Raw genomic sequence first — 16,428 nt, 5'->3', positions numbered from 1 at the left:
ACAGGAGGGTGGGGAGGATGTTGCCCCAGATGAAGTCAGGCGTTTGGTTTTTGCTCAACCACTGGCCAAGGCGATGACACAGGAGGAAGAAAGGACAGAGAACCATGAGGGGGCTTGGTTTCCTTTTGCAAAAGCTGTTTGAGGCAACTTGGAGGCAGCCGGCCTCTGAGGCGGTGCTCACGGAGGGGATCTGGCCTCTCCTCGGCTGGATTGGTCCCTCAGGTTTGGGAAGAGGGCACAAAGGCAGGACAGAGAAATGTCAAGGAGGAAACCCCCAAAAGAAAGTAAGACACACTAGCCAAGAGGAAAAAGACAGGAGACCAGAAGTTGAAGACAGGAAGACTTCCCAGAGAAACTGTGTAGTCAATAGCGCCAAATCACACCAAGATGATTAGCTGAATTTAAAGCTGAAAAGTGATTCTCTCTGAGAAACATCTGTTTTAAAATATTAACAGAGAGTATTTTTAAAAGGATGGTGAAAATTCAGAATAAACCTTGACTTCCATAAGACTACAAATAAGAGAAGGCATTTAAAAATCCAAGAAGTAAGAATTTGAGTGCCCCTTCCCTGCCTCTGACACTAATGATGTAGGTAGGAGAGTAAGTGTAATTATTAAACAGACTGAAGGCCTCTGGGCATTTGCCATTTGCACATTTCTTGGGTGGATCGATTCATGAGGCAATACATGATGGTGCTTGTCTGCTACTTTTGTAGAGATAAGCCAAGCGGTATTGGGCAACAGATTGGAATTAGACATAATTTTTAACCATATTCTATGCTTCACCCAATATTCTACTTGCTATTCTCCAAATAGGCTGGGTTTTTCTGCTTTCATACTTTATCTTAAGCCATTTCTGCCTGTCCCTTTGACTGTGGCTTGGGCTATGCCACCATCCCTCTCCACTCTGTTCACCTTTATCTAAACCCAACCCCATCTGACAAGGCCATGTCAAGTGTCTCCTCCCTCCCACCAACTTTTCCTGGTTCCCTCTGCTGGAAGGGCTCTGTCCGTGGCTTATCAAGGCTGGGGATAGCAAAGCCGTGACTTTCTCTTAGAGTTGCTGGAAAAAGAAAGCATCTCTCCCACCTTTATCTCTCAGCTCAGGGCCCCACACACCCTGAGCACTGCCTAAATTCCTGCTCAGTTGGATTCTGTTGCTGAAACACACACCGCCCTCCAGGCAGAAAACCGGGATTCTGGAAGTACTTGACTCAGGGCCTTGTGGTGTGTTCAGTCATGGTGGTTGTAGTCTCTGGGAAGGGGCTGAAAGTGGGGAATGGTTTTGGATGTGTGGTTCAGGCGGATGGAGACAGCAGCGGGTGCAATCCTTCCAGTCATCTTAGGAGAGAAGAGCTCTTAGCACCTACTAGTGAGCACACACACTCCCTGGGCACAGAGGGCAGGCGTGCTGGGCAGCAAACACAAGTGAGTCATGAACCAGCAATAACTTTGGGTGGTTAATTGAGCTGGTTTTTAATTACTTTCAAAATAAAAGCATGCTGGCTCTCATGATGTTTGTTTTTTTTTTCTATGACGGTTTTATTTGAATTGAAACCATTGGTGAAAAGCCTCATTGAGATTCCCATGCCCACAGACTAGGTGTGGTTTTTCTAAAAGTCGTGGAGTGGTTTTTGAATCAAAGCATTATGATTCTCTTCTGGGGCTTCAGACTCACCATCTGTAAAAGATGTCTTAAGCTGTCTTAGATCAACAAGCACTGCTGGACTTGAGCTGTGCCAAATGTCCTGGAATGCTTGCTAAAGCACAGGGCTGAGCCTCCTCAAAACTCCTCATTTGCTAGGTCTGCAGGTCAGTATGTGAGACACAAGAATGTGAATTTCCAACAAGTGCCCCCATCGTGTGGATGCTGCTGGTCTGGGGGCCACATTTTGGGAGCCCTTGCTGTTGAACAGCAATGCGGGGTAGGACCCTGTCTCGGGTCAGGTTTCCAAAAGGCAGAGCCTGAGGCAGGGATTGAGGGCAGTGGGGCTGGGCTGCTCTTCAGGAAAAAAAAAAACATACAAGAGTGAGGGAAACCTGATAAGGAAGGGGAAAGAGCCAAGCAAGGATGTCATCTCAGATGAAGTCAGGCATTTTGGTTTTTGCTCTGGAGCATAAAAGGCAGAGTTGTCCTGACCTTTGTATTCCTTTTTTTTTTTTTTTTTTTTTGAGATGGAGTCTCACTGTGTTGCCAGGCTGGAGTGCGATGGCGTGATCTCAGCTCACTATAACCTCTACCTCCTGGGTTCAAGCGATTCTCCTGCCTCAGCCTCCTGAGTAGCTGGGAATACAGATGCACACCATCATGCCTAGCTAATTTTTGTATTTTTAGTAGAGACGGGGTTTCGCCATGTTGGCCAGGATGGTCTCGATCTCTTGACCTCATGATCCACCTGCCTTGGCCTCCCAAAGTGCTGGAATTACAGGTGTGAGCCACTGCCCCTGGCCCCAACCTTTGTATTCCTAAGAGTCATCCTGGGCCATGCTTCAACGTGGAGGGTCATTCTCAGAGTGAAGCTATGAGCCATTGTCAGTCACTCTCCCAATAGCTGGGGTATGGGGCAGTTCCCCAGCAAAGGGCAGGACTCAGACAGTCTTGACTGCATATTCTAATTTCACAGATAGGGGCATGGGAATCAGTGAAGTTAAGTTAGAGACAAAGCCCTATTTAGTGTGTATGCTGCTGTGTTCAGGGCCTGCACACCCTCTGCCCGTTTCTTTAACCAGGGCAATTTCTTGATGCAGTTACAACTTTACTATTTTTTTAGATTCCTACACACACTTTTTAAATGTTGCAGTCATGTGGTTCATAGGCTTTTTCTTTCTTTTGATAAACATAGCATTGTAAGCACTTTCTCATGTTGCTATGTAGACTTTATATTCCTTATTTTAAAGGCCCTACATTACATCCAACACATCTACCTCCATCTCCCCAACTAGTCTGTGGTGGGCAGAATAATGTCCCCTCCACCCCCAAAGATGTTCATGTCTTAATCCCTGGAACTTATAAATATGTTACTTTGGCCAAAGGGACTTGGCAAATGAGATATAGTTAATAACCTTGAGATGGGGAATGTAGCCTGCATTTTCCAGGTGGGCCCAATCTAATCCAAGGGTCCTTACAAGAGGGAGGAAGAAGGGTCAGAGTCAGATAAGGAGATGTGATATTGGAAGCAGAAGTTTGAGTGATGCGGGGCTGTGAGCCTCTACAAGCTGAAAAAGGCAAGGAAGAGAATTCTTCCCTAGTGTTTTCAGAAAGGAACCCAGCCCTGCCACCACCTTGATTTTAGCCGAGTGAGGCCAGGTTGGACTTCTGAACTCTAGAACTGGAGCATACCACATTTGTGTTGTGTAAGCCCTGAATTTGTGGTCGTTTGTCGCAGCAGCCACAGGCAGCTCATGCTCAGCCTTTGTGTATCTGATCATGGCAGTCCCTCCGCCTCCCTGCTGGAGACGAGGCATCTCCCCAAAGCTAGTGTTTACTGTATGTTGTTATGTTCTGAGCATTGCACTAAGGGCTGGTTATGTCATTTAATTTCTTTCAGTAACCCTCTGAAGTGGATACCCTCATTGTCTTCATCTCATGGTGAGGAACCAAAGGATGCTAAGTAACTTGCTCAAAGCCACACGAGTAACAAGATCTGGGATTCAGGTGCTGGGACTCTGTGGTGTGATTCCAGTGGCTTTCTGACCACTGATGCCACAGTGATAGCAACCAGCTGGGTCTTGGGGAGGGCTGCCTTGATCCTGCTCATTGCCAATCACAACTGGTGTCATTTATCAAACATTAACTCCACACCCCACCCTGCCCGAATGCTTTCCATACGATATCCTCAGTGCTCGGATGGCAAAGCAGCATTTTTGCAGGAGGTGTTATTGCATGCATTTTATAAAAGAAGAAACTCAGAAAGGGTACACAGCCCATCCACTGTAGGTCGGCCTGGGGCCAAGCAGGATGCAGGCCTAGACCTGTCTAGCCTCAGCCTGTGTTGACTCCAAAGTTCTTAACCACATGCGATGCCACATGACCAGAGCAGGTGATTTCTGTCTTCATCAGCTTTATTGTCAGTTCATCATGATGCATCATCTCTGCGCAGGAATCCAAAAGACCTTTCAGCCCTTATATTTGTGCTTCACGAAAAGTAATCTGTGCACGTCATCTTGGATAACTGTCTCTGTCACTCAATAGCAGTCATAGATGGAGGCAGGGCCCCACATCTGAATTAGAGCTGATGGCGCTCACTGTCACCCAAGGACAAGATGAGACATAGCCAGGCTCTGGACAGGTCAATGGTGGCCCTTGAAATTCCCTCAAGCCATGTCCTGACCCTTTTGCAAATCTTCCAAACTTGAAAATATTAGAGCACATTATTTTCCTCATAAAATGCTTTCAGTTACAGTCAAGCAGTGCTTCAGGATGGGGATATGTTCTGAGAAATGTGGTTGGAGGATTTTGTTGGTGTGTGAACCTTGTAGAATGTACAAACCTAGATGGTATAGCCTCCTATGCACCTAGGCGGTATGGTATGGCATATTGTTCCTGGGCTAGAAACGTGTATAGTGTGTGACTGTGCTGAATACTGTAGGCAATTGCAGCACAATGGTAAGTATTTGTATATCTAAACATATCTGAACATAAACAGGATACAGTAAAAATACAGGCTAAAAGATAGAAAATGGCCTACCTGTATAGGACAATTCCCGTGAATGGAGCTTGCCGGACTGGAAGTTGATCTGGATGAGTGAGTGAGTGGTGAGTGAATGGGGAGGCCTAGGACAGTATTGTCTGCTACTGCAGACTATGAGCACTACACACTTAGGCTACACTACTTTTATTTAAACAAACAATTATACTACAACGTTCTGATGGCTACAGCGTCAGTAGGTGATAAGAATTTTTCAGCTCCATTATAATCTTATTGGACCACTGTCATATATGCAGTCCTTCATTGACCGAAAGGTTGTCATGCAGAGCGTGACTGTATATCTAAATTGTTCATGAAACTTTTTGATGAGTTGATAAAGGCAGAACTCTAGGGAGCTGCTTTCATAAATCTCTTCTTTCTCATCACCTGCACTAGCAGTTGGGGAGCCATTTATTACAGCCCCTTGAAAAATCACCTTCCCTAGAGTATTTCCATTGCAGAGGCAGAGTGGTTACCCTGGGCTGCAGAAAATGGACCTCTTCCTGGACTTGCTTCCTACTTCCACGCTCATACCATTTCCCTGTGTTTGGTTCACGTTTCTACATTAGCGACCTGACAAAGGTCACTTTTAGAGATGGGGGGTGGAGAGGGGGGCGCAGGGCGGTGCTGTGGCTGCTGAGGGTCTGTAGCGTAAGGCTGTGTAAGCCCTGGGTAGGCTTTGCAGTACTGCTGGCTTGCAGCTAAGAGAAAGCTTCTGCTCAGGACTCCGTGAGGTACTCAGGGCAGGTGTGGTGGATGAGGAATTCAGGCAGAATAGATCCATAGATATATCCACTGTTATTAAGCCAGTGTTTGGGGCATCCAGCACTAGAATCCCGGTTCTCCAGTTCTTGGTCTACTGCTCCGTCCAGTTGGATCTGACAATATTCTTAGCTATCTTTGTGGCAGATACTCACAGAGAGGCACATGTGGGGGATTTTACATAGAGTGTGTCATTATATGATCACTAAATTATCCTCAGAGGGTCTAAAACAGTGTTCATATCAGTTTCTGAGTCATCCATGACCCCTCCAATGATGGTTGCATTAAGAGGCTGAATGAAGATCAGTATTGTATTTCACCCATTCTTAGCTCTAGTGATGTTGGGACATCTATAGATGTGAGTCTCTCTTCTGCTGAGTATAAACTTGGGACACTGGTGAATATGATAGGGCTAAAATTATGCAATTGTGACTGAGTCTAAGGGACACAAACGATCATATGGAAGAAGAAATCTTGCAGCTGAATAAACTAATAACGAACCCAGAGAGGTTAAATGGAGGGCATGAAATAAGAGAAGTGTACAAGGTTTTGTCATGGTTAGACTATCCTGGATTTACTGTTGGCTGATAGAATATGTGAGTAGGTGACATTAAATTTTACAGTAGAGTTATATATTCCATTTTATCCTTTTATATACTAAAAAGTAGCAATATTATCTTCTTTTGCCTAGGATTACGGGACAGCTACCACAGTAGAAGAGATCAAATTGCCCTTAAAAATCTCCAGTCTGATGTCACAGAGGCAAAATCTGACTTCACCAAGGTAACATACATTTCTAACTTCTAGAATAGTCAGCAAAATGCACCCATCTATAAAATATAATCACTGACCTACTTGTGATGTGATTGCATTTTATTTTATTTAGTCAAAATTGAATTAATGTAGCAAACAATCTAACCGTGCTATAGATTTAATTATTCTTTTATCATCTTCAGCAACAATTTGTAAGCTTGCAGCATCTTAGAATATGGCAATTGCTCCCAATTTTAAACTAAAATTTATCAGCTAGAGAGAGACATAGAAAGAGAGGGAGAATTATGCCATACAGCATTTTGAAGATGCGAAAGAGGTACTCTGAAATCTAACAAGCTGGTATAGGTTGTTAGAACTGCAAAAAGTGTCAGTGGTCTGAATAGGGAGGAAAATTAGAGGTCATATTTATAAAATGAAATATTTCAGATCGTAGGGAACAAAAGAGCTTGGTGCACAGTGGTTAATATCGTCAATGTATCATACACCAGGCTCTGTCTAATCGACTGATGCAGTTAATCCTTCCCATAGCCCCACAAGACAGGTACTGCTCTTATATTAATACCTAAAAATGAGAAAACTACAGCTTCAGTAGGTGACTTGCCCCAAATCTCACAGCTCGTATAACCTGCCTGGCTCTGGAGCTTTTGTACTTAGCTTGCTCTAAAGGACTGTCATGGTGGAAATCCCTTTTGAGTTAACCAGATTTACAGTATGGACTTTCTCACCTTAAAAAACTGTCCAAGATGTTACAGTTTACAAGGCATCTGCTATCTGTCACAGATGGAGATTCTGCCGCCAAATTTTGTAGTTCTAAGAGAGAGTGGAATTATAAGAATCAATCTCTCACTACAGATTAAAGTGGCAAAGATACCTGTTAAAATATTTTTTTACCCAAAACGCTTGTGTTAGGTATTACTTTGATTTAGCTCCGTATTTAATAAAGCTCAACATTTCCTTCAGAGACTCCGGGCCTGAAATCCCACAAGATGGAGAAAGGAAGTTATTTGGGGTCCTGAGATTTACTCATCAATATTTAAATTCCTTTCTATGTGAAAGCACCAAGCTCACTGTCTCAAGATGTAAAGATGCATGGCTATAATTAATTTGTTCCCTCGGAGCAGGAGTCAGAGCCCTAGGTTTGGGGAGGAAAATGAATGCAAAGAGCAGTGGATCACTGAGAGCTGTCCTTGGGTGGAGATGCCAGTTAGGAGGAGAGAGATTGAGTCAGGGAAGGGCATGGGGGCGATTCTGCTGAGCTCCACTGCTACACTTTTTTAAGAAAGATATCAACTGAGGATATTTGTCACCTGTTTTTCACACCGAGCTGGCAAATTTCAGCATTTTCCTATTGATCTCAAAAATTAATTAGAGTTTAGTCACTAATGTTGATGTCAATGTTTGTGGCTATGTGGCTGGATCCCTGTAACACACACACACACACACAGACACACAGACACACACACACACACAGACACACACACACAGACACACATACACACACACACAGACACACACACATACACACACATAGAACACACACACACACAGACACACACACACACACACACTTCTGTCTCTCTTTCTCTCTCTCTCTCGCCCCTTTCGCTCTCATGCTTGGTCATTATCTGTGACTGAGTTCAATAACTCTGGAAATTATACCTTCTGACCACCTGCTCTGGAATCATCTGGATTATCCAATTTGGTCAGTAGGTGACTCGAATTTCCCTCTTAACTTGGAAGGTTTAGAGCTTGTCCCTGGGCGTGCGCTAGAAGGCTGCCATAAGATGATGAAACACTCCAGGGACTGCCCTGCTGCCCTGTGACTGTGGCTGCCGTAAGTCTCCGCCTCTTCTCCAGGGCCCATACGAGATTGATCACTTTTCCTTCCAAAATGCATTCAAGCTGTAGCAATGATGGGAAGTCACCTTTTCTGCCAAATGATTATTTAAAAGGAGTAAATGCAGAACGGAGTTCTCTTCTTTAAGAAGTTTTTTAAATTTTCCTCTTAATAAAAGTAATAGCAACCCCATGCAGAAACAGGAAAATACAGAAACATATAAATAAGAAAATATCTGTACATTTTCCTCTATTTTCCCCAGCATTTTAACATAAGACTGTGATGCATATTAACTTTTGTAGCTCTCTTGTATTATTCTCTTATAATACCCCTCATAAGCAATTCCTCATGTCATTTAAATTATTTGTAATTTGTATTTTTAATTTCTGCAGAATATAAGATGCAGTTGTGCAGTCATAATTTACTTACCCACTCCACCTTTAAAAAAAAAAACAGCGATTCTTGGTGGTTGTCAGAGAATGGGGAAAAGGGACTGGGAAGTTAGTATTTACTGGGTATAGAGTTTCAGTTTTACAGGACGAGAAGAGCTCTTGAAATGGATAGTGGTGACGGTGGTACAACATTATGAATGCACTTAATACCACCAAGTTGTACACTTAAAAATGGCTAAGAGAGTAAATGTTATGTATATCTTACCACAAGTTAAAAATTGGGGGAAGAATAGATTCTTTCTGGCTTCTCACTGCTCTATATCACACTGCAGTGAGTTGTTTTCAGTAACTGCACGGAAAGGCAAAATTTCATGATGGAGAGTGAGAAAAGCTCAGATTTTTCCATTTGTCTTCAAACTGTCTTCCCTTGTTGCTACATACCAGAGCAAGTTCATACACTGGAAAATGCGCTTCCATTCGAGATGAAATGCCCCTAGGCTGACAGATTATCTAGTGACCATGGCTCCAGATCAACTCAATGGAGGAAGGCAGGTTTGCAGCAAACGCGGAGAGGACTGCAGAGTCTTCTGTGGGAAGCTGCAGCCAAAGAATTGTTGGGCAAGTACATCGTAGGCTGCAGAGCAGCAATGGGGAAAAATTCAGGTTTCAAGGTAGAGATGGGAGGAGAGCCTTATTCTTTGGAGAAATAAATTGCTACAGGAATGGAGGCATCGCCTCTCCAGTGGCTTAGGAGCCGATTCCTCTGATCATCTGCTACTTGACTCTTTCTGGCTTCAATTTATGAAATTATGCCCTTCTTAGAAATACCTCAAGGCATAAATATAAAGTTAAAAACAGTCAATAAAAGCATAAAACTATGAAAGCAGTTACCAGCACTACAAAATCATCTTTGAAACATTTAAGAGAAATCAATATCTTAAAGCAGCATCTATGAGAAAGAAAATGTAAAAAAATGTGTTATGTGGTGCTGGTCAGGAAATGGATGGTTCACCAAAGCAAGACACAAAACCCAGCCACTCATCTGACCTCTCTCCAATGCGAACGTTCTACCATAAATATGAGATGATTTTCATCCTCCTTTTAAATCAAATCTGATGTCAGTTAATTTTATTTTAGATGAAAGAAATCTCTTTGTAAAGACATGTTTCGTTAACCCAGTAGAAAGGAGGATGGAATGTCACCCTGAAACAGCTTAATTTGAGAAGATATTTGGTGTAAAAGATGTAATTACTTTCTAGAGAAAATTTGCCCAGTTTTAAAAGTAGTCGGCTGACTTAGGAACATTGAATAACCCCCCATCTCATCCCCTTCTTGGTTTCTGAGACCCAGAAGAGGGATGCAACACAAAGTGATGTGTTAGGGGCTGAATTGCATCCCCCACTACCCCCACTAAATTTATATGTTGAAGTCCTATCCTCTACTTTCTCAGAATGTGACTGCATTGGGAGGTAGGGTCTTTAAAGAAGTGATTAAGGTTAAGTGAGGTCATTAGGGTGGGTCCTAATCCAATCTGGTGTCTATATAAGAAGAAAAGATTAGGACCCAGACATGGAGCAGAGGACAGAGGGAGGACCGTGTAAAGATGCAGGAAGAAGATGGCCGTCTACAAGCCAAGGAGTGGCCTCAGAAGAAACCAACCCTGTGACATCTTAATCTCAGATTTCCACCTCCTAGAACTGAGAAAACTAGTTCAGTTGTTTAAGTCACACAGTGTGTAGTACTTTGGTGCTATGGTAGCCCTGGCAAACTCATATAGATTTTTAAGAGGTTGGACCTTATCTTCAATCATTTAATGGGTCTCACTGAGACACTAGGGTTTAATACACAGAACTTCCCATACAAGAGTGTCCTGTGTTTTAAAGAGCAAAGAGTCCGCCAGTGTTTCCTTTTCAATATCTCCGAGTTTGTTGTTTGGGGACTTTTTGTCAAAGCTGAGACAATACACTGGGAAAATGCAGCACTTGGCTCATAGTAGGTGCCCAAATAAATATGTGGAATGCACAGTTAAAGAGTTTGACCGTGACTGTATGTATGAATAACAGAATTGCACCTAAAAAATTACATGACTTCTACATTTCTATCAGCAAAATTTCAATGTATTGGATATACAATGAGTCATTTCTATTTATGTCATTCAGGTAAACCCAAATGCATTCCATTGTAAATTCCACTGAAATATGGTATCACTTTGATGTGAACACCTCTTACTCCTTTGTAGGTTGGATTATGTCAGATATCCACTCGTTTCTGCTGGGTCATGGGAAGAGTACTGGAGAATTACATCACACATTGGTATTTTGAGAGGGCAAATCTATTTTTCTTTGGAACTGGGCATTCGTCAGTATCTGTGCCTCAGGAGCAGTGTCACCTTGACATCCTGAGTGATTCCAGGGCTTCAGAAATAAGTTGAAGTTCATGCCATTCATGATTGCTCTTCCCTCATCCGTTCACATCTGATAGAGTCAAAACTCACGGTCACGTTTGCCAGGCCCCACTTAATGAAATGGTGGCTAATTCCTTATCCCGTCCTCTGGGCCTCTAGGTCCTTCTGGAGGGATGTACCGGCCTGCAGCCCCTCAGCACAGCCTGGGGGCATCCCTCAGCATGCACAGCCCTGGGCTCTGGCTGTGGCTTCAGGGCTCGGTCCAGACGTGTAGTCAGAGTCAGGTATTTCCCATCCCTGTTGTTCCAGGGTGAGATGACATTCACTCATTCCCAGCAACACACCCCTCGTTGATGCCAATCTCATGGGTGTCATGGTGTCCTAAGCCTGAAGAGTAGGTACTCTCTTGATACTGGAGACCACAGTACGAGGAAGCCTGGAGGCCCCCGCCCGAGAACCACCCCTGTTTTCTCCTTGCTTAGCAGCTGTGGCAGCCAAAGGCCCTGTCCAAGGTCCTGTAGCCAGTATGGGAGTCCCGGCCCACGCTAGACCCAGGTGGCCTGAGTCCTAGGCCGGCATCTTTCCCACCATATCCATGCAGAAGAATCACCTGGGAGCTGGTGAAAGATACAAATTCTAGGCTTTATCCCCATAGATCCTGAGCAACCTAGGCCCAAGGAAGGAGAGGTCTAGAAATCTGCGTGGCCTGAGTCCTAGGCCGGCATCTTTCCCACCATATCCATGCAGAAGAATCACCTGGGAGCTGGTGAAAGATACAAATTCTAGGCTTTATCCCCGTAGATCCTGAGCAACCTAGGCCCAAGGAAGGAGAGGTCTAGAAATCTGCGTGGCCTGAGTCCTAGGCCGGCATCTTTCCCACCATATCCATGCAGAAGAATCACCTGGGAGCTGGTGAAAGATACAAATTCTAGGCTTTATCCCCATAGATCCTGAGCAACCTAGGCCCAAGGAAGGAGAGGTCTAGAAATCTGCATTTTTAACATGTCCTCCCCACCAACACACACACACACACTCTCTCTCTCTCTCTCTCTCTCTCTCTCTCTCACTCACTCATTCACTCTAGGTGGTTTCTATGCAGGCAGTCCCTGGCGCAAACTTTGGGAAACATTGCCCTATAAAATAAGACCTATACTGCAGTTTCCAAAGTGGGTCTTTTTTTTTTTTTCTTCAAAGAGCAGTGTCAAAGGAGTTCCTACTGGGTATGATTGCACTCCTCGTGGGGTACACAAGAACAATTATGATCAGAACTAAATTTAACTAAAATGGGAGGGAATGTGTACCAAGTGAAATAGGCAGCAGGTGCATTTCAGTTTTTCTTATGTGTAAACTACATCCATAAAAAGTGCTACAAGGGGAAGGGATTCAGGGTGCCGCAGAAATGTTGGGGCTACAGGCTGGAATCTCACTGGAAGCTCTAAGAACACTGATGCCTGGGCCTCCCTGCCCAGGAATTCTAATGTAATTTTTCGGGAATGAGGCCTGGGCATTAGAGTTTGGATGAGTTCCCAGGTGACTGATGAACCCTGGGCTGACAACTGCTGGTGAGGAAGCCCCACCTGGCAGGACTTCCAGCAGCATTAGCCTCAAGGAAGCAACGCATGATGTGATTGGGAAGTGTGAGGTAGCCGCTGGGCTAAAAGAGAGGGCTGAAAGTCCCCTTTCATGACTCAGTGCTACTGCATTGACCTTTTTTTTTTTTTTTGGAAAAAAGTAGCCATGGATATTTTGATTTATTTTTAAATGAAGTAAATTTTAAAATGACTCTCCTGTCTATTTCTTCTTTTTCACTCATCTCTGGGTATTTGAATGTACAATTCCCCATGTATTTTTTTTTTTTTTTTTTTTTGAGATGGAGTCTCGCTCTGTCACCCAGGCTGGAGTGCAGTGGCGCGATCTTGGCTCACTGCAAGCTCCGTCTCTCGGGTTCACGCCATTCTCCTGCCTCAGCCTCCCGAGTAGCTGGGACTACAGGCGCCTGCCACCACGCCCAGCTAATTTTTTGTATTTTTAGTAGAGACAGAGTTTCACCGTGTTAGCCAGGATTGTCTTAATCTCCTGACCTCATGATCCACCCGCCTTGGCCTCCCAAAGTGCTGGGATTACAGGCGTGAGCCACCGCACCCAGCCCCATGTATCCTTTTTTTAAAAAACCCACATATAATGTGATGGAGATTGTCATGCAAAACAAGCCAACCATCTTCCCATGCCTGACTCTGAGGACACAAAGCCCCTCAGGTGGCTAAGATCACACACGCACGCACACACACACACACACACACACACTGGCCCTCCTGCAGCCATGTGGACTTGCCATGCCAAATGTCCAGCTAGTGGGGAACATGCAATTATTTGAGTCAGTAAATATTAGTCCTGCCCTGAAGAAAATAAAAATGCTACTGTGCTTGCTGTCACATCTTGGAATGAGCAAATACCCTGCTTCCAACACACATAGGCCCTTCCTCTCCAAAATGTGTTGTCTTGAGAAGACCAGCAGCCTCATGACTTGTCTGTGTTTCTCAAAGTGTGTGACCCAGATCACCTACATCACAATCACTTGAAATGCAGTTGAAATGCAGATGCCTGGGTGCCACCCACAATCTACAGAATCAATCTCTGGGGTCTGGGGAACTTGCAGTTGTAACATCCCAGGCCATTCTCTGCATGTTGGGATTTGGGAGCTGCTGTGGCAATTGTTGGGCATCCAGTTATGCCCTCAGGCCCCCAAAGCAAAGATTCTCTGCAAGCAGTGGGAGCTTAGCGGTTACATATATTATTCCAGATCCTGTGCAGCTCTATGCAAGGATTCATTGTAAGCATGTTCCATAATGAACGTCTAAACGGGGGCCAGGACCCTGTTAGCCTTCACTAAGTGCTGGGGTGTAGTCCATCTTCCATGTTGTATTTTGTAGTGCTTCACACATAACCATAATAGAAACAAATGAGTATAGACCTGGTTAGATGCTTTGTTAAAAATCATAGCATACTCTTTTGGACACATGAGCAATTTACTGTTAGGACAAACAATCTGCTGATTAGGAAAAATGAAACACCTTGGTCATTTAAAAATACTGGACAAAAACTGATACAACCGATCATTGAAATGCAGCAAAGCTACATGTGCCTTGGTCCAGTGTCCCCTGTCCCCCAATTCTGATAAGTGAAATCATCTGATTGCCATAGTGTTGGTCTGGGCAAACGTGGGCATTTGATTTTTTTTGATTGTTTGTTTAATGTTTGTGTGTGTGAGAGAGACGAAGTTTCACACTTGGTGCCTAGGCTGGAGTGCAATGGCACAATCTTGGCTCACCACAACTTCCGCCTCCTGAGTTCAAGCGATTCTCCTGCCTCAGCCTCCCGAGTAGCTGGGATTACAGGCATGTGCCACCATGCCTGGCTAATTCTGTATTTTTAGTGGAGACGGGGTTTCTCCATGTTGGTCAGGCTGGTCTCAAACTCACGACCTCAGGTGATCCGCCCATCTCAGCCTCCCAAAGTGCTGGGATTACAAGTGTGAGCCACCATGCCCAGCTGGGCATTTGATTTCTATTGTTTTGCTCTCTGGACCTTGACTTCCATGATGCCAAGCAGCAGGGAGCAACTGAATTAGAGTCTAAACCGGCAAATGTGGAGGACTCCAAAGGACCAAGGTAGGGAGGGGGCTCCTGGTAACCACCGTTGCTGTTTCCTTTCAGGACTACTGACTAATCTCCCACATAAACCTGTGGCCCCAAGTTCCAGCCACCTCCAGAATTCTGTCTTTCCTCTCCATTGAGGATATGAGCCTGTATTCAGGGGTTCCTGGGCTTGGCGGAGGTGGTTATCGAATTAGATGATCCCCGTTGACACATCATTAGATAAATTAAGAATAGATGCCCAGCAGAGAAAACCAATTCATGACTCAGGCCAATGTTTCCAGAACGTGTAACTTGTCATAAACATCTAGTTTTCCTGCCCTTCCTGCCATCTCTGAGCATCAGGTGTGCAGTAAAAAGCCTTGGACAAGACATCTGAGTGTTATGAACCCAGTGCTCTGGCATCCTGGTGGCCCTTGAAAGAGAGTTTACTGTCTATATTTCAATAGACTGCTTGAATAATCGGGATCTTTTTCTATTTGCAGGAGACCCTGGCATCACAAAACACAAAAATGATTTCATCCATAGTCATCTCCCAGATGATTGATGAGAATAAGTCAAGAGAAAACAGGGCCTCCTTGCCCCTACCGTGTGCCATTGCTCAGTCTCGTGCACATCACGCCAAGCAATCTCTGGCTAACCGCAGCGGAGTCAACATTCACAGAGCATTTGCGTTACTTCCGGGCAGATTAGGAATCCCGGCACCGTCAGATGAGCGAGGACCTGAGGCAGAGCTGCCGCCCAAAGAGGAGAGACCCTGTGGGGGCCCCCGCAGAGGGTTTGCATCCATCACCATCACGGCCAGACGCGTGGGCCCCCCAGCCCGCGCCCTGGTGTGGGGGACTGCTGGGGACTCTCTGTGCCCCAAGTGCAGGGCTGAGGACACACTGTTCCAGGCGCCCCCGGCTCTGGCCAATGGCGCCCATCCAGGTCGGCATCAGAGATCTTTTGCCTGCACAGAGTTCTCCAGAAACAGCTCCGTGGTGCGGCTGAAGGTTCCCGAGGCCCACACTGGGTTGTGTGAGAGACGCAAGTACTGGGTCACCCATGCAGACGACAAAGAGACCAGTTTTTCTCCAGACACCCCACTGTCAGGAAAGAGCCCGCTGGTGTTCAGTTCCTGTGTCCACCTCAGGGTGTCTCAGCAGTGTCCAGATTCAATCTATTACGTAGACAAGTCTCTCTCCGTCCCCATTGAGCCACCTCAAATTGCCAGCCCCAAAATGCACAGATCCGTCCTGTCGCTCAACCTCAATTGTAGTTCCCACAGATTAACAGCAGATGGAGTAGATGGCCTAGTGAACAGAGAGCCAATAAGCGAAGCCCTGAAGCAGGAGCTCCTGGAGGGAGACCAGGACCTCGTAGGCCAGCGCTGGAACCCAGGTTTACAAGAAAGTCACTTGAAGGAAACCCCATCGTTGAGGCGGGTGCATTTGGGGACCGGCGCTTGTCCTTGGAGTGGTTCTTTTCCATTGGAAAACACAGAATTGGCAAATGTGGGAGCTAACCAAGTCACTGTAAGAAAAGGGGAAAAGGACCATACAACTCATTGTCACGCCAGCGATCATGCCAACCAACTGTCCATTCACATTCCTGGCTGGAGTTACAGGGCAGGTGAGTGGTGCGTCCATCTGCAGGAGGGTGACCTGAGTAAATGTCCTAGCAAGGTGACTGTTGAGTGAATTTCTTATACAAAACTTATTCTAAGAGGCATTTCTCAGTAGACTTGCAGTGATCTGCTCTGCTCATAGTTGACAACTGATAGCTCGGCATCGATGTCTGATTGGATAGATTTTTTTAGTTGAGACTTTTGTAGATTGTAAGAGGCCTTCTGTCAAATTCTTGTTCCCAATAGTTCCAGACCATATGTAATGAGAAGGAAATGAGGGCCTCCAAAGGAAGTTAATTTACAACATGCC

General features: G+C 45.0%; 1 protein-coding gene across 15 annotated transcripts in view; it reads left to right on the top strand.

Moving 5' to 3' along the window:
* The window catches only part of C10orf90 (chromosome 10 open reading frame 90), a 245,697-nt gene that overhangs the window by 150,614 nt on the left and 78,655 nt on the right, over positions 1 to 16,428 (top strand). For 12 of the 15 annotated variants that reach the window (NR_146939.2, NM_001350922.2, NM_001350921.2 and 9 more), the window contains 2 exons: positions 6,141 to 6,232; positions 14,995 to 16,123. Coding sequence is in view for 14 of the 15 variants with exons in the window: in NM_001350922.2 (NP_001337851.1) it covers positions 6,141 to 6,232; positions 14,995 to 16,123 (1,221 nt within the window). In the remaining variant the exon portion in view is untranslated. Of the gene's footprint in view, positions 1 to 3,547; positions 3,589 to 6,140; positions 6,233 to 14,994; positions 16,124 to 16,428 lie in introns of those variants that run through there. The other 3 variants (XM_047424557.1, XM_011539217.2, XM_047424563.1) reach the window with 2 other exon arrangements.

Source organism: Homo sapiens, chromosome 10, assembly GCF_000001405.40.
Source record: "Homo sapiens chromosome 10, GRCh38.p14 Primary Assembly".
NCBI classification, from domain to species: Eukaryota; Metazoa; Chordata; class Mammalia; order Primates; family Hominidae; genus Homo; species Homo sapiens.
Note: the sequence above shows the minus strand (reverse complement) of the source record. Positions and strands in the feature narration are given on the sequence as shown.